Here is a 26,078-nt window from a genome sequence, read left to right on the forward strand (position 1 = left end):
GTTCCTTTCTCCTTAGTGCCATGAGTAATCAAAACCCAACATGATTGTTTTCTGTTAAGAATATACACCAAGTCATGTCTCATCACTTTTTTTTCTTGAGGGTTTTAGCAAACAGTAAGAGTTAATAAAGAAGTTCATTGTGGTTTAGACATAAGAAAGAAGAAAACCATGAAAATCCATCCAAACTATTGTATAAGGTGGCCTGTTGGACATAGACCTCTCCTGGATTTACTATATTTCAGTGAGCTGCCCCATCCTCATGTTTGGTGTCTTCATCCATTTAGGTCTGAAACCACTATTCTTAGCTATTCAGTGGTGAACAGACTGCAAATCTGTGTTATAGGGCCCATATTAACATAGCACTGATTCAACATATAACTTACTAAGAGCATGTTTTAGCATTACTGTTAAGAAATTAAATAAGCATCAGAATTTAAAACGATAAATATAATCTAACACACTTTCAACACTTTCTTTGCATGCCATCACAAATACTCCTTAACCAAATGTTGCTTGGCCTTTTGAATGCATCAAGTAGACGACATTTATCCTCTAAGTCTGCATTCATTCACCAGCCTAGACCTCCTGAGCTAATAATTCATACAGTGAGAAACGCCTCCCCATTGTTGAAAGTGCAAAGCAATAGGTGTGGCACTCTTTCAAACACTGATCTTTTTTTTACAATCCAAAATTTTTATGTGTTTTGCATTTCATATTAAGTTACTGTAAATCAAGGTAGAAGACATGTTTGGTCTAAGCTTTCCTTTTCGTGTAGAGGATGGATTCTTAACTCCTGATACACATAATGAGCACTCAGTGGCTCTCTGATACATCCAGTTGTTGGCTTCCTTCTCCCTGACTTCTCACAAGCAGCTTCTGGGCCTTGTGTGCCCCTGGGCGCCTATCCCTGGTCAGTTTACCAGAGCTACCCGTGTTCCTCTCACTATCCAATCAGAGTCATCTCCTTCCATTTTTGTCCCCTGGACGCATGCTGTAGGTGTCAGCCGTACCCAGAGTGGAGTGAACAATCTGCAGACTAACTCTTGCAGGATGCAAAACTGAGGTATCTGCACCCATAATGCACCTGTATCCTACAATTACAAGTCCAGGATATGCATTCCTAGGAAACTGAGAATATAAGGAGTCACAGAAAGGCATCAGATGTGTCTAGCTCTGACATACACAGGTATTTATTGAACTCTGGGATTTCTCAGGAAAAATGCAGTGCAGAGAAAGGTCCCTGATGAGACCACAGCATACAGACCATCCAGTGTGGGCACCACCTTGTCACTACACTTTAAATTCTTCATATTGATTGAGTGCTATCTAAATGTCAGACCCTTTGCTGAGTGCTAGGTGCAGGAGGATCATAGGCAGCCAGGAGGTAGAGGGGTCTTGGGGTACATAAGTCATTGTGGTTGAAGAGCAGAGATTCAAAAGAAAGTTAGGCCTGGAGATTTAAAGGAGACCGAAGCTGGTGACTTCCTTATGTCAACTTCTGACTGAGAAAGTTTGACACCTGGAGTAGAATAAACACACTGGGGTTAGGACTGCCAGCTTAGTGTTTTGTCCCCCATCCCTTTCCATCCCTGGTCCCTTCATTTTCTGCCCCTCACAGTGTGAATAAACTCTCACAGATGCCAGACCATCTCCTTCTTGTCCAGGTGCACAAATAACTGCTCATCTTCATCAGATTCAAACATATACTCCCCAGAGGGTCTGTGTGTCTGCACAAACTCTGCATACGTTGACACATGGTCTGCTGCTTGAAGGGGAAGAAGACTGCAGAATGAGGAACACATAGGAAAGTACACAGAATACAAGAAGCAAGCAGGTAATGGGAAAGTTTTTAAGAATGCAAGGGAATAACACAGAAAATGAGAAATGCAAAAATGAATGAAAAGAAAAGGAATGGGGATAAACAATGATAGAAATGACTCATAGAAGATTTCAGTTGTTTCCCTGGTCTCTGAAGACTTACACAACCCTCACATCATTCCAATAATGATAACACTGAACACAATCAGAAAATATTCACTGAACATGTACCATGTGCTCAACTTATTCATTGAATCCTCACACTTCCACGTAGAAGTGTTCAAAGAAGGCCAGGCGCGGTGGCTCACGCCTGTAATCAGCCGGGCATGGTGGCAGGTGCCTGTAGTCCCAGCTACTCAGGAGGCTGAGGCAGGAGAATGGCGTGAACCCGGGAGGTGGAACTTGCAGTGAGCTGAGATCGCGCCACTGCACTCCAGTCTGGGAGATAGAGCGAGACTCCTTCCCCAAAAAAAAAAAGTGTTCAAAGAAAAACTTCTGGCCAGGCACGGTGGCTCATGCCTGTAATCCCAGCACTTTGGGAGGCCGAGGCAGGTGGTTCACTTGAGGTCAGGAATTCAAGATCAGCCTGGCCAACATGGTGAAACCCCTTTGTCTCTACTAAACCTCTTTGTCTCTACTAAAGATACAAAAATTAGCCAGGCATGCTGTCTGTAGTCCCAGCTACTTGGGAGGCTGAGTCAGGAGACTCACTTGAACCGGGAGGAGGAGGTTACAGTGGGCTGAGATTGCGCCACTGCACTCCAGACTGGGTGACGGAGTGAGACTCTGTCTCGAAAAAAAAAAACAGAAAAAAGAAAAAAAGAAAAACTTCAGCTGAATTCAATATAAAAGAGTCAAATTGAGCAATGAACGATTCGTGAATCAGGCAGCCTCCCGAGGCAGAGTAGGCTCAGAGACTCCATTGCAGGCATGTGGTGGAAGATTTATGGACAGAAAAAGGAAAGTGACATACAGAAAACAGAAGTGAGGTACAGAAACACCCAATTGGTTACAGCTGGGTGTATCCTTATTTGAACACAGTTTGAACAGTTGGCTACATATGATTGGCCGAAACTTGGTGATTGACACAAGTGTAGGCTGTTTACACCTCCACTTGTTATAGTTCACGATGTACAGAGAAACCTTTAGGCCAAACTTAAAATATGTAAGGAGGCAGCTTTAGGCTAAACTTGATTTAACAATTTTCCTCTTTTGGTAATCTTCTCAATTTTTAGAGATTTACCAAAACTTTAGTCATCGATGCCACTATCACCATTGTAAATGTACTTATTTGGTCTTGAAACCCCCTGGGAAATAGCAGAACAATGAGTTTTGTAAGGGGGAACAAGGATTTCAGGTTATTTTATTTTATTTTAATTTTATTTTTGTAAGGGTTACCTCCTTTTGTTGGAACGTTCTGTTTATAGGAGAAAAAAACAAAACCTGGTCTGTTTTAGGATCTATGTGTTTCCTTAAAGTCTTAGTTTAATCATGTCACATTTAGCACAAGTGACTCCATTTTGGTTTGGTCTGGTCTGTTGGGGCTTAGTGCATTTAGCCTTTCATTAAAGTCCAAAACAATGGCCTCCCATGATTTTGTTTAAAAATGTCCCCTTTTTGGTCAGGTTCTCACTTAGGTGAGAATGTGACCAAAGCTTAGGGCCTTAGCGCCACTCTCAGTTACCATCATTTTGGGTTTCCAGTCTCAACACATCATTCATAGGTTAAAATGCCATCATGGTCACACATTTCTTTCAATCTTGTCATTCTAGTTGAAGAGAGACAATTTGACATTCTAGAGATGGCTGCATGCAAACATTTAAAACTTTCGAGAGAATACAGTGCACCAGGTAGACTACTATTATGACTATCAGGAGGATAATACCAAGAGTTTGGAGTATGCTCCTTACACAGGGTCCCCATAAACCAAACCACCCAAAATTAAATAGATCAAAGAATGAGCTAAATAAAGAGTTTACTCATTTAAGCAGTCTCTTCATTAATTACCTACAACTGAATCTCTGTACACCTGACGTGATGTATTTCTCCATAGGCCACAAGTGCCAGCAGCTGCACAGATACTTCTCTGTTTAGCCAGTAAGTAATCTACAGCAATCCTACTATTAAGCATAACTTTCACAAAAGAATGTAAAATCTGTTGTGTAACCATCGCCCTTACAGTAGACTCTGTTTAGAGCCTATCATGAGGGATACATTTCTAATCATTGCCTGTTTTACTCCAAATCATGGTAAAAAGGACCTAAGGAAAAATGCCCTTCTAGAAGACTGAAGGCCTCCTGGCAATGTTCTCTTTAACCCATGATGTGGAATAGGGGAGTGAATCAATGTTCTGTTTCTGACTGATTATGAGGCAACCTATGTACCATTAAAATTTCTCACCTACACTGGGCCTTCATCTTTCATCTATCAAGGTGTGAGGTTATCCATGTATAAGGCTGGCTGCAAAACCCTTCACCAATAAAAGTATACCTACCCCATAAGTGCACACAACAGACCCCCTTTTCACTTCTACTGTTCATAGAGGCATCAGCAAGGGAAAAAATACTCAGAGATAAGAGCCTCCATATAGCAGAGAAGTCTTGATCTGTGATCTTGGTGAAAGCTGTTCACATCAAGGATACCATCTTCTTCTGGGAAGAAACTTCCCTGGTTAGCTTTACCTTACGGGTTCCAATGGGTGTATATTTCCAAGAATGTGGAGGGATCCTTCTCAGTTGTGAGATCATGAAGCCAAAGTTCACGGTTCTGATGTTTACTGCAGTGTGGATGGCAAGGGCAGTCTTTCTCTGATGTTCTCAGAAGATCCAATCTTCAGGTTCTAGATTGTGAAGGGGTTGATTGTCCTCAGTCAGTGAACCATAAAAAGCTTTCTTTACCTGGTGAAAATACACTGTGAAATAATAATCTACTGTTATAACATCAGTTCACTTGTATAGGAAAGCTTTTACACAACCAGAAAACATGCATTGAAAATGACAATTGACTGAAATCTCTTCATAAATGTTTAAATGGCTCATGAGGTAGCAGAATGTACCTGAAGCTTTGATTGTCTTCCCAGGAATATGGGTTTGGCAAACCAAACATTGGTCATAAACTATTTTAGCAATTTAGAAGTCACCACACCAATATGCATTTAACTTGGATCATTTTATCTTTTCCATGATGAGTCATGGAATGCAGAACTTTAAATTATAAAAGCTTTAAAAGCTCAGGAAGGATAAGGCAGCCACCTTGGTTCTCCATGAGTCCATGCTTGACACGGTTGTTTCTCCAATTGAGGTGCATAGCACTGATAACTGATGGGTTATCATAGGTAATTTGAGTTAGACCACAGAGTTTCTTCAAATTGTGTATCTAAACAATTTCAGTATTGGGTGATTTAGCATGAAAGACTTGCAAAGTATTTTCTTGGTATTCAATTAATTTGTGTTCTACTTGGGATGGCAGTTTTATAAACCAGTCAGTCTTTTAAGCTCCAGGAAGCAGGAGAATGGCGTGAACCTGGGAGGCGGAGCTTGCAGTGAGCCAAGATCGTGCCACTGCACTCCAGCCTGGGTGACAGAGTGAGACTCCGTCTCAAAAAAAAAAAAAAAGCTCCAGGAATTCTTACCCAGTAAAAATGATATGATTCTAAAGTTATCAGAAACCTGTAATCAAGAATACTTTTTGGGGTCCTTTCCATCCTTTCAGGAACCTCCTAAAAGACACCATATTCTAGAATTGTGCCTACTTGTGAAGTTTTCAGAAATTGCACCAGCATTAAGCAATTAACTGTGGAAATGACCTTCCTTCCTTCCCTCCTTCCTTCCTTCCTTCCTTCCACTCTCTCTCTCTCTTTCTTTCTTTCCTTTATTTTGAGACAGAGTATCACTCTGTCACCCATGTTGGAGTGCAGTGGTGCAATCTCGGCTCACTGCAACTCCGCCTTCCAGGCTCAAGCAATTCTCATGCCTCAGACTCTCCAGTAGCTGGAACTGCAGGTGTGCAGCACTGCACCAGGCTAATTTTTGTATTTTTAGTAGAGACTGGGTTTCACCCTGTTGGCCATCCCCAAAAGGATATTTAGCCTTAGATTTTGAGAGGGATCTATCTGCTTTTGATTCCTGGTGTTTCAGGAGGAAAACCGAGTTATATCCCAAAGCAGGATCGTAGTGCCTCCTCTGTTTTTCCCAAGGAGTCCCAGGCTGTTAGAAGTTACCTTAGGTCCTCTCATGTGTGCAACAAAAGTGGCAAGAAGACAAAATGGAGAAAAACAATTCAGTTGGCTAAAAAGAAAAAAATAATTAAAAAAAAACAAAGATCCAAGAAGAGAAAAAACCAAAAGGCCCTTTAAACATACCTATAGCTTGGATATCCACTTTTAATTAAGCTGACTTTTAACTATAGCGCTCTTTCTAAAAAAAAAAAAAAATTATTTGATTGTTTTTAGAGACGGAGTCTTGCTCTCTTGCCCAGGCTGGAGTTCAGTGGTTCAATCTCAGCTCACTGCAACCTCCGCCTCCCAGGTTAAAGCGATTATCCTGCCTCAGCCTCCTGAATAGGTGGGACTACCAGTGCGAGCCACCACATCCAGCTAATTTTTGTATTTTTAGTAGAGACAGGGTTTCTCCATGTTGGTCAGGCTGGTCTCAAACTCCTGACTTCAGGTGATCCATCCTCCTTGGCCTCCCAAAGCGCTGGGATTGCAGGCATGGACCACTGCGCCCAGCCTAAAATAATCATTTTAAATCTCTTATTACTTGACTTTAGCCAGGCCAAACAGCCAATATGTCTGGCTTTTGAACTTTACCAAAGGTAATCTCCCAGGTGAAACCAATAAGCTTTAACAAGGTTATGACTTAACCACAAGTGTACGAAGTATTTTCAAAAAGGTAGCAAGCAATTTTTACAAACTCTAGAATTTCCAAACGTAGCTCAGAGAAAGGAAAATTCAAGACGAGAGTCAGAAGTTGTTCATGAGGGGAAGAGAATCAGCAAATAGCAAAGATCAGAAAGATATCAAACCAAACAGGTCTCATTCCCTGAGCTGGAATTGAACCCTGCCTGGCTGCCATCATAAGATGGCAAAGCTTAGCCACTAAGCTACACCGTTGGTGGTTTCCATTGTTCCTCCCAGAAGGAGGAGCCTAAGAGCAGCCAATTTTCAGCTTGCAAAGGCTTTTAACTGCTCAAGATAATTTTTAGAGCTAACTATGACATGAACTCCAAAATTCCTGTCCTCCAGAGGGTGGAGACCAAAAGAAAGTACCATCATGTGATTATAAGGTCAAGCTCCCAATGACATAAAACAAGATGACAGGGAAACCTTATCCAGTGTTTTTTTGTTTCAGGGACCCGCAGTTTGTAACTGACCAGTTTGCCAGGCTGGCTTGAACAGCAGACTTCTGGGAGTCCTAGGCCCACATTTTATCCTATTTAACCCCTTTTATGACCAAATGACACAGAAAGACCAATTCATAGCACAAAGTACACCAGGTTTGCTACAGCTTAAGATTGGCTCACAAATACCTTTTTTTTTTTTTTTTTTTTTTTGAGACGGAGTCTCGCTGTCGCCCAGGCTGGAGTACAGTGGCGCGATCTCGGCTCACTGCAAGTTCCACCTCCCGGGTTCACGCCATTCTCCTGCCTCAGCCTCCCGAGTAGCTGGGACTACAGGCGCCCGCCACCTCGCCCGGCTAATTTTTTGTATTTTTAGTAGAGACTGGGTTTCACTGTGTTAGCCAGGTTGGTCTTGATCTCCTGACCTCGTGATCCACCCGCCTCGGCCACCCAAAGTGCTGGGATTACAGGCGTGAGCCACCGCACCCAGCCTCACAAATCCTTTTTATCATTAATTAAAACTTTGCAGAGGAGACAGTGATTTTTACTACTCCTACAACCGTTTCCACACAGAGAGAGGCCAGAAGCCTGACTGCTAAGAAATTCTTACCCTTTTGCCAGCATGCCAGGCTTCTGGGTTCCCTCTTTCTGAGTGGCCCTAGCGACCCTGTTAGCTGCACATAGCCTGGGGGCCAAGCCACAACACAAAGGAAAATCATCTTTTCTGATTTCAGGGAACCATAGGCAAAAGCCTCTCAATTTTGTAAGATGCTGCCCAAGAGATTGCATGAGGGAACTGAATTAACATTTTCCCTTCCAGCCACAGCAAAATACATGTGACAAAACATAGACATTAGCCACTCTGCTTAGTGCCCAATATTGAACTGGTAAGGCTTAAACTTGCCCCTGGTGGGGCTCTGCTATCTTTAATCTATTCAAAGTGGGGTGGAATGGCCTCCAGCCAGAAGTTTCAACATGTGATCTCTAGACAAGATATAATAGAAAGCTGGAAAAAGGAGGCCGGGCGTGGTGGCTCACGCCTGTAATCCCAGCACTTTGGGAGGCCGAGGTGGGCAGATCACGAGGTCAGGAGATCGAGACCATTCTGGCTAAGACGGTGAAACTCCGTCTCTACTAAAAATACAAAAAAAAAAAAAATTAGCCAGGCGTGGTGGCGGGCGCCTGTGGTCCCAGCTACTCCGGAGGCTGAGGCAGGAGAATGGCATGACCCTCGGAGGCAGAGCTTGCAGTGAGCCGAGATCGCACCACTGCACTCCAGGCTGGGTGACATAGCAAGACTCCGTTTCAAAAAAAAAAAAAAAAGAAAGATAGAAAAAGGAAAGAAGAGAAAGAGAGAAAGAAAAGCATTGTCTGCAGCAGGGTGGGGAAGGCAAAGAGTTCAGGGAGGACAGAGAAGGACCCACCTATTGCAGTGACACTAAATTAAAAGTTCAGGGCCAGGTGCGGTGGCTCATGCCTTTAATCACAGCACTTTGGGAGGCCAAGGTGGGCGGATCACCTGAAGTCAGGAGTTCGAGACCAGCCTGACCAACATGGTGAAACCCTGTCTCTACTAAACACAAAAAATTAGCCAGGCATGGTGGTGGGCGCCCGTAATCCCAGCTACTCGGGAGGCTGAAGCAGAAGAATCACTTGAACCCAGGAGGCGGAGGTTGCAGTGAGCTGAGATTGTGCCACCGCACTCCAGCCTGGGAGACAGAGTGAGACTCCGTTTCAAAAAAAAAAAAAGTTCAGGCAGCTGCTTGTCAGTCATGAAGGATCTTTTCCAGCCATCTCATCAGCTCTCAAGTTTCCTGCTTTGGGGAGAAAAAAGTTCCCCATGTCCCATGATCCTGTACATGCCTAATCCTGTCACACACAGCCATCAGCAAAAAGCGCAAGGCAGATTTAATTTTTTAAATCAATTAGTTGTTTAAGCTTTTTAATTCTTTTTTGTAAAGTCTTTAAATGCAAATATTGAAATTTTTTAGAAGCTTCTGCATATCAATAGGCATCCCTACATGAGACTGTACATGAGACTAATTTGGGAGCCCTCATTTTCAAATGCACTTCAGTGCAGTGTTGTTCTTTTGGAATGTTCTACTGCAAGTTATCTTTAGTAAAAAAAAAAAAAAAAATTTTATTTGAGACACAGTCTCTGTCACCCAGGCTGGAGTGCAGTATTATGATCTCAGCTCATGGCAGCCTCCACCTCCTGGGTTCAAGTGATTCTTGTGCCTCAGCCTCCCGAGTAGCTGGAATTACAGGCACATGCCACCATGCCTGGCTAATTTTTTTTTTTAATTTTTAGTACAGACAGGGTTTCACAGTGTTGGCCAGCCTGGTCTCAAACTCCTAGCCTCAAGCAATCTACCCACCTTGGCCTCCCAAAGTGCTGGGATTACAGGTGTGAGCCACCACGCCTGGACAATTTCTGTAAGGCGTTGCTCCTTCCAGGGCCTAATACTTATGCATGTATAATCCAGAAGGAACTCAGTTCTTCAGAAATTCAGTATCACATTTTTTACCTCAAATACTGGCTTTGCTCTCAGGTCCCTTGTTCAACTTAGCCAATGATTTTTTTTCCTACCTAAGTGCACAAGAAAAATAAAGGAGTAGAACATAAAAATCTCTGTGAATTTCCAAAAGCCAAATTTTACACCTTTGCAATATTGCCATTTAATACTGGTTTCTTTCTGATCCAGTTAGATGTAAGAGGTCTCTAACCGGATCCAAGCCAGTTAATTACTGGAGCCAATCCGATCCTGGACTCAGTTCAATTTCTTTCGCGACTTTCAAACCCAATCAGGATCAGAAATTTACTCAAAGAAACTCAGAGAGCTCAACACACAAATCTGTGGAGCTTCGGAATCTGCAAGAGAACTTACCACGATCCCCAGCTGCTCCGAGAGAGAAAGAGACACAATGGGCCTGGAGGGTACCTCGCTAGGTCACTCAGCACTTCTGGGGGTCATTAGAAGCTCTACTTCCAACCCCACTTCTGACACCACCTGATAAAAGAAAAACTTCAGCCGAATAAATTTTAAATGAGGTTAATTGCGCAATAAACAATTCACAAATCGGGCAGCCTCCCAAGCCAGAGTATGCTCAAAGTCTCCAGCACAGCTGCGTGGTGGAAGAAAGTTTATGGACAGAAAAAGAAAAGTAACATACAGAAAACAGAAGTGAGGTACAGAAACAGCCAGATTGGTTACAGCTCAATGTTTGCCTAACTTGAACACAGTTCAAACAGTTAGCTACATATGATTGGCCAAAACTCAGTGATTGGCACAAGTGTAGGCTATGGTCTGTTTACACCTCCACTTGTTATAGTTCATGATGTACAGAGAAACCTTTAGGCCAAACTTAAAATATGTAAGGAGGCAACTTTAGGCTAAACTTGATTTAACAGAGGAAATTATTTTACATATTGGGGAACTGACCACAGAAGTAAAGTAACTCACCCAAGTCACACAACTCCTGGTAGAAACAAAATTGCGTAGTCCCCCTACCCCATTCCCATAGGATCTCAGAACCCCTACAGGACCAGACATAAAAAATACTGATATAGCCACAGAGAAAGGCAGGGAAGTAGGGAGATGAAATAAAAATCTTTCAGGGAAAAAAATAATGAAGGACATGAAAAGACCTCCAGAGTAAGTCTTAGTGCTATTTATAGACTTCAAGTTATGTTCTTACTTTTAGAATAAAAATGGTACCTTATATAATTTTATCAAAACACTTTCATTTTAAGTCATAGTAAATTTAAAAATGTTGTCATGCACATAACATTCACAAAATGTTCTTGTTGAATGTATATTTTCAAGTGTAGTTCTACCTGGAAATAAAAGTTGTTGCATTTGAAACACCTATGGGATAGTATCTTAGCTTTACCTGATGTATAAGACGCAGCAAAAGGTTGACAACAAAAAAGTCTATTACTATTACAGTAAAAGAATAAAGATGAGAGAGCATGGAGTCCAGCCTGGAAGAGGAAGTGAGGCGAAATGACACTGCATGGTTGTTGGTCCTAAGCAAGGATTTCCCCTCCAAGCCCAACACGGGGAAAACCAGTCCTCTCCTTGGATGCGTCAAGTGACGGCAAGTTCAGTGTCACACACGGATGTTGAGGGTCCTCCACTGAGTTTATGGGCTAGAGAATTACTCACCTACAGAAACGAAGCCCAAAGAAAAAACAGATGAAAAACATGATATACAAGCTGTGCTACAGAGATGTCGTTTGTTCACCTTAGGTTACTTTGTTTTTATTATATTCACAAAGCCTAAAACTAAAGGTCCGTGCATTTTAAAGCAAATTCCACCTTCAAATGTTAATTTTCATTCTGTTAAATAAACACTCATTGTGAATTTTCACTCTTTAGGCACTAAGGATGTAACTCAGAAGACCTGGGCCTTGTCCTCAAGCTGCTTGAAATCCAAAATCCAAAGAGACAAAGAAAAGAAGATTGCTACATGTGTATTTTATTTTGTGTTTTTTAATCTTTTATTTCCATAGGTTATTTTGATCACCACTGAGTACCATAAGATATACACTGGAGCCACTCAGGAGCATAAAGAGGGCATTTTTGAAAAATGAGATTTAGGAAAGGTTCCTAGGGATAGTGTTTACCTGAGGTTAGCAAAACAGAGAAAGGGGAAATGACATGTCCAGCAGGAGAAGCAGGCTCAGGAGCAGAGAGGCATGAAGTTGCAAGGAGAACTGCAGTTCTTCAGTGTGACTGAAGCCAGGGGAGATGTGCGCCGGGCGGCACTGTAACCTGCCTTGTGTGCTGATGGCAGGTGTTTGCATTTTATCCCACAGGACATAGGAAGTTGTGAAGCATCTTAAGCAGGACAGTAACATGATGAGATTTGTGTTTGGAGGGGGCAGCAGTAGGGAGGATGGGTTGGAGGAGGCTGGTTTGAAAGCAAGACCAATAGGACTCTTCAGCCATCAGATGGGAAGTCATGAGGGTGTAGGCAGGGGCAGGAACATGGGGTGAGGCGGACAGCGGATGGGTTTGAATGGCAATAATGAAACGAAAAGCCACAGGAATCACTAAATCATGTGCCAGAAGTAGGGATATGAAGGAGTCCAGAATACCCAACGTGGAGAACTGGGGCATCAGTGACTGCAAAGGTAATGAAAAATGAAATAATCGAGAGAAGGTAAGATGTTCTGTTTGGAACATGCTTAGTTTGAATTTCTGTGGGAACAAATGGAGTTAATCTGAGGATAGTGAGCTAAATGGTTGGGTCCCAGGGTACACTAGGTTAGTGACACAGACTGGAAGGAAGCTCATTATAAGTGAAGTTCTAAATTTGGATCAGGTCACTCAAGAAAAGTACATAAAGTCAGAATAGCAAGGGTCTGAGTGTGTGCTCCTGCATCCAGACAAACACAGACATGAAAAAAGAGGCTGAAAAGGAGAAGACTAGAAAGTAGGAGGAAAACAAAGAGGAAGTGGGTTCATAAAAGACAACAGACAGGAGAAAACATCCAGGAAAGAGGAGCGGACGCATCACAAACACACTCATGACACACAAGAGATAGAGACAGAGAAGTGATCACTGGTTTGGGTTGTATAAAGGTCACCCTGAGAGCAGCATCAGAGACATGGGGAAGAAAAAGGGAGAATGCAGTGGGTTGAAGACTGAATGAAATGAGAGAGAGTCACTAACGGGCTGGGTGTGGTGCCCCACACCTGTAATCTTAGTGCTGTGAGAGGCTGAACAGGAGGATCACTTGAGGCCAGGAGTTTGAGACCAGCCTAGGAAATACAGTGAGACTCCATCTCTAAGGGGAAAAATATATATATATATATATATATATATATATAATTATCCAGGTGTAGTGACAGACACCTGTAGTCCCAGTTACCCAGGAGGCTGAGGTGTGAGGATCCCTTGAGCCTGGGAGTTCAAGGTTGCAGTGAACTGTGATCACGTGATTGCACTCCAGCCTGGGCAACAGAGCAGGACCCTGTCGAGAGAGAGAGAGGAGAGAGAGAGAGAAAAGAAGAAGAAGAAAAAGAAGAAGAAGAGGAGGAGGGGGAGGGAGAAAAGGAAGGAAGGAAGGAAGGAAAAAAACCCACATTGCAGACTCCTATTTGAGGAAGCTGACCTCTACAATCTACGAGAGAATCTCCAGAGGAGGTTGCCAAGCCCTGGCTCTTCTCTCTTCAGCGAGAGGACGTGGGGGAAAGGAGACATTTATGAATCTCTTTGAGTCTCAGTCTTTTCATTTCTAAAATTGTGTTAATAAAAGCCTTTCTGAAAATGGTGTTGTGAGGAAGGACATGAGGTTTGGCACTTAGGGGGTGTTCAGTAAATGGTGGTTATTATTGTTAGAATGAGAGAAAGCAAAAGAGAGCCTCAGGCAAAACAGTAAAGAACAGAGAAAACAGAACAGGAAAGAAAACAGCATCTGTGGGCTCCAGAAGCGCCCAGAGCCCCCACCCTCCCTCGCCCACCTGCGCACTCACCCCTGATGGCCCAGGTTCCGAGAGGCTAAGCAGGGCAGCCAGGGCCATGGCTCACAGGAGGATCCTGGCTCTGCGCTGGCTCCTTCAGTCTTTAGGGTGTATTGCAATGGCCACTGTGCGCCAGACCCCAAGGAGAAAATGAGGCGGCGCAGGGACGGAGGAGCTCCGAATCCAGCACTCCTTTCCCTACCCCTGTCCAGGGAGAAAGGCTGGAGATGAAACAGCCTGATGGGGCTCAACCAACCAGAATACATCAGAAGGGACGCCTCTGTGGCTGGGGAAGGAAGATGCTAGAGCTGCTGGGAGGAAGTGGGAGAATTGTCAGGCACCAGCATGGCCCAGGAAGCCCCTGACTACTGCAGAGTGTAGGGGTAAGTGAAGAAAACGAAAATTAGGACATCATAATCGCCTTCTTCTTAATGAGGAAATACATTACGCAAGTTGGGATTTTTTATTTGTAGTTACTTCTGTGAATGGATGATATTTCTTCACAATTTTACATTGATTCTTTGCATCATAAAGGAATTAATTTGTTACCATTTGATATTATATTGACTCTTTTATAGCTATGATAATTTTGGAGAAAATCTTTGATGTTTTCAAACATATAAGGAGAAGGAAATAATATTTAATTATTTAATTAGTAATTATTATTTTATTTCTTCTTCATATAAAAATGTGGTGAGGCTGGGCGCACAGCTGAATGAAATTTAAAAGAGTCAGCTGGGCATGGTGGCTCATGCCTGTAATCCCAGCACTTTGGGAGGCTGAGGCGGGTGGATCATCTGAGGTCAGTAGTTAGAGACCAGCCTGGCCAACATGGTGAAACCCCATCTCTACTAAAAATACAAAAATTAGCTGGGCATGGTGGCACGTGCCTGTAATCCCAGATACTCGAGGGGCTGAGGCAGGAGAATTACTTGAACCCAGGAGGTGGAGGTTGCAGTGAGCCGAGATCACACCATTGCAGTCCAGCCTGGGCAACAAGAGCAAAACTCCGTCTCAAAAAAAAAAAAAAAAAAAGAATGTGGTGATACAAAGAACCCCACTTTAAATTTTATGTTTAAGAACAATTTCTTTTTCTCCTTTATTTTCTGTGTGTGTGTGTGTGTGTGTGTGTGTGTGTGTGTGTGAGAGAGAGAGAGAGAGAGAGAAAGACAGACAGGGTCTCATTCTGTTAACCAGGCTGGAGTGCAGTAGTACGATCTCAGTTCACCATAGCCTGCACCTCCTGGGCTCAAACAATGCTGCCACTCAGCCTGCCCAGTAGCTGGCACCACAGGCACATGCCACCATGTGCCTGCATGTTAATTCATGTACTTCCTCTTTCCCAAGTTCTCTAGTTTATAGCATGTCCTTTCCTGAGGAACATAAATCACATGTTATTGTCTGCCTTTCATCCTGAGAGGAAGGAGATAATCACATGGCCATTTTATGCTTGAAGGATTTGGTGATCACTGGGTCCAATGAAGAGCCTCAGGATGAGTCAGTGTGGTTTTACCCAGGCATGGAGAAATTAACTTCTTGATGATGATCAAGTCTTCTTATTAAATAGGAGTGCAACTGATAGAGGATCTTCTTACATTTGCTTTATTTCATGGTGCTGCCCAAATTCATGCTGTACCCTCAGCAGCAAGGAGTGGGACCATTACTCCTGGCGTTCCCAGATGGAACAGACACCAAGCCTGGCTTTGCCACTGAACACAATACAGGACTGATAAAGGTCAGTTCTTAGGAATATGCTTCCCAAATGTAGAAATCAACATAAGATCCCAATTTTAAATAATAGGTATAATAGCATAATATATTATTTTATTTTATTTATTTAGAGATGGAGTCTCACTCTATCACCCAGGCTGAAATGCAATGGCATGATCTCAGCTTACTACAACCTCTGCCTCCAGGGTTCAGGCGATCCTCCCATCTCAGTCTCTAGAGTACCTGAGAGCTAATTTTTTGTTTTTGGTAGAGATGAGGTTTTACCATGTTGGCCAGGCTGGTCTTGGACTCCTGAGCTCAAGTAATCCACCCACCTCAGCCTCCCAAAATGCTGGGATTGCAGAAGTGAGCCACCATGCCCAGCCGCATAATACATTATCGTTCTCTTTATATATAATTTGTACTAAGTTATAGATACACACTTATTCCATAACTCTATGTTCACCAGATCACCTCTTGCAGGTTGTACAGTGAAAACACATCCTTAGTTTCAAAAGATGTGTGTATACCAGATTTTTCAGACATAGGCTTGGTTTTAGAATACAGTTTACTATGATTTTTGTAATTCATCTTAATTGATGTTTAATACCGAGAGAGAAGTCATATTGTCTCCAGTCATTTCATGTTATGATGTGCCACTAAGTCCAAATTTTATATAATAGTAATCAGGAGGCTGGGCACAGTGGCTCACGCCTGTAATCCCAGCACTTTGGGAGGCCAAGGCAGGCAGATCACCTGAGGTCGGGAGTTCAAGACCAGCCTGACCAATATGGTGAAATCCTGTCTCTACTAAAAATACAAAAATTAGCTGGGTGTGGTGGTGGGCGCCTGTAATCCCAACTACTTGGGAGGCTGAGGCAGGAGAATCGCTTGAACCCAGGAGGCGGAGGTTGCAGTGAGCTGAGACCACACCATTGCACTCCAGCCTGGGCAACAAGAGCAAAACTCCATCCCCCACTCCCAAAAAAAAAAAAAAAGTTATCAGGAAAACTTATAGTTGCTACAATATTATTAGATTAATACGAATTTTCAAAAATGGCAGAGCCTTAACCAAGCTTAAAGAGTTTTTCTTTCTTAACTGAACTTCTTGGATGTGACTACATGAAATTTTGATGAAATATGGTCATAAATTATGATGACAAGTTAGTTTTGGGGGATTTTATATATTACCAGATACCAATGCCAGAGGAAGAGCTATGTTAGGGGTCCTCAGAGCCACCCCAGGTGAGATGATGCCCTAGGAGGACTCACAGGGCTCATCATATGGTCCTACTCAGGGCTCTGATTCATTACAGTAAAAGGATGCAAAGCAAACTCAGCAGAGGGAAAGGCACACTGGGCAAAGCCTAAGAGAAACCAGGCTCAGGCTTCCAAGGATCCTGTCCCCCTGGAGCCACACAGGACACACTTAATTCCTCCCACAAGGAGCTGGGATGCCATGTGTAAAATATTGTCTACCAGGAAGTTCGTAACAGACCAGCACTAGGGCCTTTGGGGGCTTTGGGGGCCTTTGGGGGCCTTTGGGGGCTGAAGAAGTCAGACTTCTTCAGAGAAACAGAATTTATTGGATATATATAGGTAGATAGATGAGTGGGGATTTATGCTGGGGATTCACTCCCTCAACTATGGAGGCTGAGGAGTTCCACGTTAGGCCTTCTGCAAGCTGCTGAGACAGGGGAGCCTGTAGCATGGCTCAGTCCAAGTCTGAAGGGCTGAGAACCGGGGGAGCTGGTGGAGTAACTCTGAGTCCAAGACCAAAAACCTGGGGGGCTGCTGGTGCAAGTCCCTGAGTGTGAAGGCCAGAGAACCTGGAGATCTGATGTCCAAGGGGAGGAGAATATAGGACTCCCTACTCCAAAACAGAGAGAGAGTGAATTCACCTTTTTTCTGCCTTTTTGTTCTAGCCAGGCCTTCGGCCGACTGAATGATGCAGTGAGCTGAAATCACACCACTGCACTTCAGCCTGGGCAACAGAGTGAGACTCTGTCTCCAAAAAAAAGAAAAAGAAAGTCATATATTGGTACAGAAGATACTCTTAAATCCTACTTTTCTGGAAATATTGGTTATTATAGAAGATATAGGACTAAATTCATTTTAAAATTTTTATTTTGAAATTATTATTACAAATGTTTTATGAATCATATTAGCATATAGGCAAGTTTTGGAAAGCCAAAGTTACAAACCAGGGATTCAGATGAGTGTTCTGTGAAATTTTTAATTTTTGCAGAACACCATGAGAAATTACACATTTTCTATTCTATATTTCTTGTAGGAAATAGAGGCTGCCCATCTCTCAGTGCCACATATGAGAAAGGGAAGTTGTCATTTTATATATCCACTGTCAAGCATCTTGGTAAAACAGAAGAAAGCAGGCTGGGCCTGGTGGCTCATGCCTATAATCCCAGCACTTTGGGAGGCCAAGGAGGGCAGATAGCTTGACCAGCATGGGCAACATGGCAAAATCCTGTCTCTACAAAAAAATAAAAAAAAACAAAAAATAAATGTAGTCCCAGGTACTGAGGAAGCTGAGGCAGGAGGAACACTTGAGCCTGGGAGGTAAAGGCTTCAGTGAGCCGTGATAATGCCACTGCACTCCAGCCTAGACAACAGAGTGAGACCCTGTCTCAAGAAAAAGAAAAACAAGAGGGAGGCAATCTACTTTATACCCAGAGAATTTTACATGCAAGGAATTTGACTATGAATAAGCCTCCATTGCTTAAGAGAGACTTCACTATTTGGGATTTTAAGAAAGAAATACACAAACAAGCAAATCTCATCAGCAGAGGACTGAGAAACCAGTGTTTATAATACCCAGTGATTAATGTAATATTGTCTTCAGTCATCATTAAAAGGGACTTAGTTTAAAAGTCATTTCGATTGATCGCCAACTCAGAGTCCTCAACATTTCACCTTTTGCTTTATGAAAAGAACTAGTAGATTAATTTAGAGTTTGACAAGGAGAAGCAGGTCTCCCTTGATTTTCTGTTTGGCCAAGAATTTATCCTAACATGGTACCATCAGAATACTGTCAGAAAGCTGTGAGTCAACTCAGATTTCTCACCATTGAGTCAAGCCGTGAAGCCAGCTGTCTTGGGGGTAAGGATTTCCATACAGAAACACTGTAAGTAAATAATTTAGCACTTGTTTCCTATTCCTTTTTATTGGATAACTACAGAGAATTAAAACTGTGGGTTGTTTTGAATTCACAAAAGAAATGTTTTAAAGCTTTCGAGGAAAAAGCCAGATTATCCATTGCAAAGCATCGAAATTCAAAATCATGTTAAGGCTATAGAGAAATAGGATCCTATCCCCACCTAGTGGCCAACACTGAAATCTGGGCTTAGAACAGGAAACAAGGGAATTTGTCAACAATTTGGGAATACTCCAGCATTCTTTACAAAAAAAAGTTAGAGAAAAAGTTAAGCACACAAAAAACACAAGTCAAAATAAATACGACCAAATACATAGGTTTTGGCAGCACATAGATTTCTGTGGTTTTGCTATGCTTTTAGCAGCGGCTGTAAAAAGCATTGCACACTAAGCATTGCTAGATTGCCAAACAAACCTAATTACATTTTTTGTTTGGTTTTTTGTTTTTTTCAAAACCTCCTAACCTCTGTGACCTAATTATGTTTTTAATGAGTTGATTGTAAAAACTAACATCAGCGAATACAAAATTTCAGTTAGACAGGAGGAATAAATTCAAGATATGTACTGTACAACATGGTGACTCTAGTTAATAACAATGTACTGTGTACTTGAATATTGCTAAGTGAATAATTTTAAGTGTTCTCACCCAACACAAAAAATATGTAAGGTAATGCACATATTAATTAGCTTGATTTAGCCATTAAACAATGTGTGTGTGTGTGTATATATATATATATATATATATATATAAACATCATATTGTATACCATAAACAGATTCAATTTTTGTCAATTAAAGAATTAAATGAATACATATATTTTTGTTGCACAGATGTATGAGAGATTGATCAATAAAGATTCTAAAATATTTGTTAAAAGTTACAAACTGAGGGAAAGCCTTCGACATCGTATTTGCAAGAAAGAAAGTGTACATAGTTAGACAGTCCTAGTATCTGTAAAGTGGGTGTGATCATCGGAGAGCAATCCCTTGAGCAGTGCTGTCCTATACAATGTTCTGCTGTTAGGGAAATGTTCTGTATCTATCCAACCGAGCCGCCACTAGCCACAGGTGGCTCTTGAGCACTTAAAATGCTAGCAGCTGGTGAGACGAAGGGGCTGAAGTTCTCATTTAATTTCAAATTAAGGCAGAACCGCCTATAAGAGAAAGTGCTAAAGAATTGGAAAAATGAAAAAGAATTTGAGAACCCAGTGGGAATGGAGCTAACGTGTATGGTCATGGCTCATTAGATTTGGGGATATCGGAATCCCAACAGCACAATGGGCTCATTAGAAAATTAACAAGGTTACAAAACAGGTTAAAGGAAGTATCAAAAATAGTCCAATTTTAGCAGATACAGAAGCTGCAAATTTAGCAGTAGTTTTGGCAAACCCTCAATTCATGTAATTTAACAGTGCTAGGGACCAAACCGAAGGGGAATGCCAAGACAAAAAGCTTATAAACGTTAAGAGCTCATTTCTCTTAGAACATACAGAAACAGGGCACTTCCACACCTTCGATTCATTCTCCAAGCTTAAAGAGCTTTGCCCTAAAACCAGATCCTCTCATACGATGGGACAAACAGCCCCAATGTTCTTCCCTCCAGATCTGTTCCAACCTGTGTCTGGAGACACTCTGCACTCACGTTAAAACAGTTTAGACAAAGGACAATGTTTAGGAATTCCAGAAACTTTGGGATATAACATCAATGGCAACTTTTAATTAGGAAAACCCAATCTAATAAGAAGGGCTATTTTGAATACCAGGGTATGTGGAGGGGAAAGTATGAAGGTGGAAGGTTATGAAACATTAATGGGAGATACAGAGAACCAAGAAAGCTTCTATGGTGATTTCTCCTGCCCCTGGGCATGTTATCTGAACTTACGATTGCAACTGTGGGAGCTGGAAAAGCTCTTAAGAACCTCTAGAATTCCACTTCCCCACAAAACAACGTAATATGAAATAGTGACAAATCCCTAGGAGAATATGTAAAATAACAATTATGATAACATTGTTGGAGAAATCTGAGATAAAGAGTAGGACTCTTTAACAACTCATTTTGGCCAGTCAAAAGGGAGGTGGAGCTTGGAAGTGAATTGTGAATTACACCGATATTAAGAAAAGCAGCTAATTCTGAAGTAGTATTAAGTGGCAGTGACTATTCTAATCACTTTAAATATTTAACTCAATTATGAAAAAAATGTGATTAGCACTGTACATGATATTATTTCCTTAGTAGAAGATCTTGCTAAATCAACCCTTGATTAGCATTCATGCATCAATCTGGCTGATGTATCCTTTTCAATCCCAATAAATTATATTCACCAACAGTCTGCCTTCACTTGGCAGCCCCAACCTTTACTAAGTTGCCAGAGTAAATTCTCCCACCTCCGAGGTACAATCCATTGAGCAAAATTTAAACAGCCTAAATCCAATTCAAGAATTAACATTGTTTTATTATCCTAATGACACATTAACCAGGAGTGACTTGAAAAAAGCTGTGTCCATGAGGAAACTTTTTGGGGTAATAGAAATATTATCTTCATTGTAGTAGTAGTTACACAATGAATATGTTTGTCAAACTCATAAACAACTGTACAGCTATGGTTTCACTGTATTTAAATTATATCTCAGTAAACCTGATTTTATTTATTTATTTATTTGTTTATTTATTTATTTATTTATTTATTTTTGAGATGGAGTCTCACTCTGTTACCCAGGCTGGAGTGCAGTGGCGCAATCTTAGCTCACTGCAACCTCCCCCTCCCAGGTTCAAGCAATTCTCCTGCCTTAGCCCCAAGTAGCTGGGATTATAGATGCGCACCACCATATCCAGCTAATTTTTGTATTTTTAGTAGAGACGGGGTTTCACCATGCTGGCCAGGCTGGTCTCAAACTCCTGACCTCAGAAGATCCGCCCACCTCAGCCTCCCAAAGTGCTGGGATTACAAGTGTGAGCCACTGTGCCTGGCCTGAACCTGGTTTTTTTTAAAGCAACTGCATCAAAAACCTCTGTCTTCCATTATTAATTTTATGAGTTAAAAGAAACAGACTATAAAAGAGCACAAATTTTGGTAAAATTTTGGGGAGAAAAATTCTGCCCAAGACCAGGTAAAAGCCTTTGTGCTTGAAAGCCCCCAACTTGAAAAAGAGGAACAGAAATTAATTGGCGTGTTTGAATTATGAAGACTGCATATCCCACATCTGTATTAAACTTGGGTCTCTTCATTGAATTATGTGGGTCCTTAAAAGAGCCTCAGAGCTGTGCTGTCTAATATGGTAGCACTAGCTAGCTACCTGTGGCCATTTAAATTAAATAAAATTAAAATTGAATTTCAAATTGAGTTTCTTAGTGCACTAGCCATGTTTCAAGTGCTCAATAGCCACATGTGAATAGTGGCCACCACATTAAATTGCATAAATGTAGAACATTTCCATCATCACAGAAAGTGCTCACAGACTTAGAGGCCAAACTGTCTTAGAGGCCAAACAGGTATATAGACCACTGGAGTTTAATGACTTAAGTATTGAATACAAAATTAGGTGGCATATGTCTCTGAAAATTCAATTGGCTGATATTTCTAACCATTAAAACCATCTTGAGATGGCCAGGTGCAGTGGCTAATGCCTGTAATCCCAGCATTTTGGGATGCTGAGGCGGGTGGATCACCTGAGGTCAGGAATTCGAGACCAGCCTGGCCAACGTGGCAAAACCCTGTCTCTACTAAAAACACAAAAAAATTAGCTGGGCATGTATCTGGGGAACCCACCCCTAATATTTCAATGCAGGTTCTTTCTATTTTCCCTAAGTGTCGGCCAGTCTGAGAAATAAAGAGAAAGAGTACAAAGAGAGGAATTTTACAGCTGGGCCGCCAGGAGTGACATCACATATCAGTAGGTCCATGATGTCCACCTGAGCCACAAAACCAGCAGCTTTTTATTAAGGACTTCAAAAGGGGAGGGGGTGTACAAACAGGGAGTAGGTCACAAAGATCACATGCTTCAAAGGGCAATAAAGATCACAAGGCAAAAGGCAAAGCAAAGATCACAAGGCAAAGGGCAAAATTAGAATTACTGATGAGGGTCTATGTTCAGCTGTGCACATATTGTCTTGATAAACATCTTAAACAATAGAAAACAGGGTTCGAGAGCAGAGAACCGGTCTGACCTCAAATTCACCAGGGTGGGGTTTTTCCCCACCCTAGTGAGCCTGAGGGTACTGCAGGAGACCAGGGCGTATTTCAGTCCTTATCTCAACCGCATAAGACAGACACTCCCAGAGCGGCTGTTTATAGACCTCCCCCCCAGGAATGCAATTATTCTCCCAGAGTATTAATTATCAATATTCCTTGCTAGGAAAAGAATTTAGCGATATCTCTCCTACTTGCACGTCTGTTTATAGGCTCTCTGCAAGAAGAAAAATATGGCTCTTTTAGCCCAACCCCACAGGCAGTCAGACCTTATGGTTGTCTTTCCTTGTTCCCTAAAATCGCTGTTATTCTGTTCATTTTCAAGGTGCACTGATTTCATATTGTTCAAACACACATGTTTTACAGTCAATTTGTACAATAGTGGCCCTGAGGTGACGTACATCCTCAGCTTGTGAAGATAACAGGATTAAGAGATTAAAGTAAGACAGGCATAAGAAATTATAAGAGTATTACTTGGGAACTGATAAATGTCCATGAAATCTTCACAATTTATGTTCAGAGATTGAAGTAAAGACAGGCGTAAGAAATTATAAGAGCATTATTAGGGAAGTGATAAATGTCCATATTAAAATGAAATCTTCATAATTTATGTTCCTCTGCCTCGGCTCCAGCTGGTCCCTCCATTTGGGGTCCCTGACTTCCCGCAACAGGCATGGTGGCAGGCACCTGTAATCCTAGCTACTTGGGAGGCTGAGGCAGAAGAATGGCTTGAACCTGGGAGGCAGAGGTTGCAGTGAGCTGAGATTGTGCCACTGCACTCCAACCTGGGCGACAGAGAAAGACTCCATCTCAAAAAAATAAAATAAAATTAAATTAAATTAAAAAGTCTTGATCCACGTTGCAAATATCCTAGTGGTGTACTAACAAAGCCAGAGGCCTCCTCAGACAGCCAGACACCTCAGAGGCAGACATATATGCAGAGGTAACTAATGGTGGCCTCACGAGGAAAGGGGGCAGCTACTCCATGAGCACAAGCTCTAGATACTTAGCCTTCAAATACTTCAAAAAACAAAACAATCCCTCGGGGAGAGATTTCCGAGCAAAACAAAACAGCCCATTTGTTTTTAGACTCCTGCTATAATGCTTTGCCTAAAGGTATTGGCCAAGGCGGGTGGATCACTTGAGGTCAGGAGTTTGAGACCAGCCTGACCAACGTGGTGAAACTCCATCTCTACTAAAAATACAAAAATTAGCCAGGCATGGTGGCACATGCCTGTAATCCCAGCTACTCAGGAGGCTGAGGCAGGAGAATCGCTAGAACCTGGGGAGCGGAGGTTGCAGTGAGCTGAGATCCACTACTGCACTCCAGCCTGGGTGACAGAGCAAGACTCCCTCTCAAAAAAAAAAAAAAAAGAAAAAACGAAAAAAAAGAGGGGTTGTCCTTATTTCCCCTTTCTCCTTCAGCTGACTGGAACACAAACATGAAAGCTGGAATTCAAGCAGTCATATTGGACCTGAGAGAGAAGAGCTATGTTGAGGCTGGTGGAAGAAAAAGATAGATAGAAGGAACCTGAGTCTCTGACACTTAAACACTACACCAGCCCTAGGGTTGCATGTGAGAGAGAAATGAACTTCTATCTTGGTGGAGACACTGTTGTTTCCAGGGTTTTCTGTTTCTCACAGCTGAAGCTAATCCTAACCAAGCAGAACAAGCACAAAGTCATCAAAACATAAACTGGAGTTTGCAAAGCACATGTCACTTCCAAGCATCAGATACAGTAAAATGATGAGATGTTTTTCCCAAGCCCTGGCTCAGGACCCTCCCTAACAGCTCCCCGACAAGCCCTTTGTCTTCTTAGTAATCATGCCTTGCATGGTGCCTTTTCCAACATCATGCCCCTCCGTGGAGCTCATTAGTAAGGAGCAAGTGAGATTCTTTTTATTTATCTAATCAGTGAATTCCAAAAACTGACAAACAGGATAAAGAAGGAATACCAGCCACTGTTATGAATGTCAATAAGACATTTGTTCAGTTCAGGACCATCTCAATTTCAGAAGGGACCTGCATAGATTTATTTGCAGTAATAAATCAATAACAATTCAGTGGCAATTATACTTCCCAGTTTCCCACACTGCATCTATAGCTTCCAGGTACAAGTCTTAGTATCTTCAAAGCATTTGCAATAGCCATAAAATGGCTCTTTCATGACAGCAAAGTGGTGGCAGGCATTTCTACAGCTAAGGGGTGCCGAACACGTCTCATGCGTCTTTTCTTTATTGGTGAATGTCATGTTTGACAGTGATGTAAATGGAACAGCTATTATGAAAAACGTGCTTATAGTTTAGCCAAAGAAAATATGTAAGGGTAACATTGTAGGAGGGTGGAGTGTAAACATATGAAGAGTCTGGAACCCTGATGGCATCATTAAATGCTCAAACCAATGCTGGAAGCTGTCATCCTCAGATTTCTTATGAGAAAAATGAATTCCTGTTTATTTTAGCCCCTGTTTTTTGGGTTGTCTGGGCCTGCACTTGCAAGCATTTCTGCTGGATGCAGCAGGTCCCAGGAGGCCCTTTCAGACCTAGGGCATTTGGTTGCCTTTCCCACTCTGTGCCTTTGCTTATTTCTTTTTTTTTTTTTTTTTTTTTTTTTTTTTTGACAGAGTTTCACTCTTGTTGCCCAGGCTGGAGTGCAATGCCGTGATCTTGGCTCACCGCAACCTCTGCCTCCCAAGTTCAAGCGATTCTCCTGCCTCAGCCTCCTAAGTAGCTGGGATTACAGGCATGTGCCACCATGCCCGACTAATTTTGTATTTTTAGTAGAGATGGGGCTTCTCCATGTTGGTCAGGCTGGTCTCGAACTCCTAACCTCAGGTGATCCGCCCGCCTCAGCCTCTCAAAGTGCTGGTATTACAGGTGTGAGGCACCACACCCGGCCATCTTTGCTTATTTCCTTTTTTTTCTTTTCTTTTCTTTTCTTTTTTTTTTGAGACAGGGTCTCATTCTGTCTACCAGACTGGAGTGCAGTGGCATGATCTCGGTTCACTGCAACCTCTGCTTCCCTGGTTCAAGTGATTCTCCTGCCTCAGCCTCCCCAGTAGCTGGGATTACAGACACGTGCCACCACACCTGGCGAATTTTTTGTATTTTTAGTAGAGACAAGGTTACACCATGTTGAACAGGCTGATCTCGAACTCCTGACCTCAAGTGATCCACCTGCCTTGGTCCCCCAAAGTGCTGGGATTACAGGCATGAGCCACTGCACCTGGCTGCTTATTTCTTACGGGATCTCTCCAGTTTAGAGCAGAGGTTCTCAACACAGCCTGCACTTTGGAATTGCCTGGGGAAATTTTACACAAGTCCCTTTGCTCACGCCCCAAATGGGTTGAATCCAGATCTCTAAGGGTGAGCACAGGTG

General features: G+C 42.3%; 2 long non-coding RNA genes and 1 pseudogene across 2 annotated transcripts; 1 reads left to right on the forward strand and 2 right to left on the reverse strand.

Moving 5' to 3' along the window:
• Positions 1-1,166: 1,166 nt before the first annotated feature.
• LOC105375021 (uncharacterized) lies at positions 1,167-13,854 on the reverse strand. Its single transcript, NR_190905.1, has 5 exons — positions 13,644-13,854; positions 10,047-10,169; positions 4,500-4,657; positions 1,617-1,762; positions 1,167-1,519 (listed from the first exon to the last, which is right to left on the reverse strand). It is a non-coding gene; the product is annotated as an uncharacterized LOC105375021 (long non-coding RNA).
• HLA-DPA3 (major histocompatibility complex, class II, DP alpha 3 (pseudogene)) lies at positions 1,617-1,763 on the reverse strand (annotated as a pseudogene).
• HCG24 (HLA complex group 24) lies at positions 13,744-19,235 on the forward strand. The gene is made up of 3 exons (NR_138084.1): positions 13,744-14,014; positions 15,274-15,366; positions 17,635-19,235. It is a non-coding gene; the product is annotated as an HLA complex group 24 (long non-coding RNA).
• The last annotated feature ends 6,843 nt before the right edge of the window (positions 19,236-26,078 follow it).

The sequence above is a fragment of the Homo sapiens genome, chromosome 6, assembly GCF_000001405.40.
Source record: "Homo sapiens chromosome 6, GRCh38.p14 Primary Assembly".
NCBI lineage: Eukaryota > Metazoa > Chordata > Mammalia > Primates > Hominidae > Homo > Homo sapiens.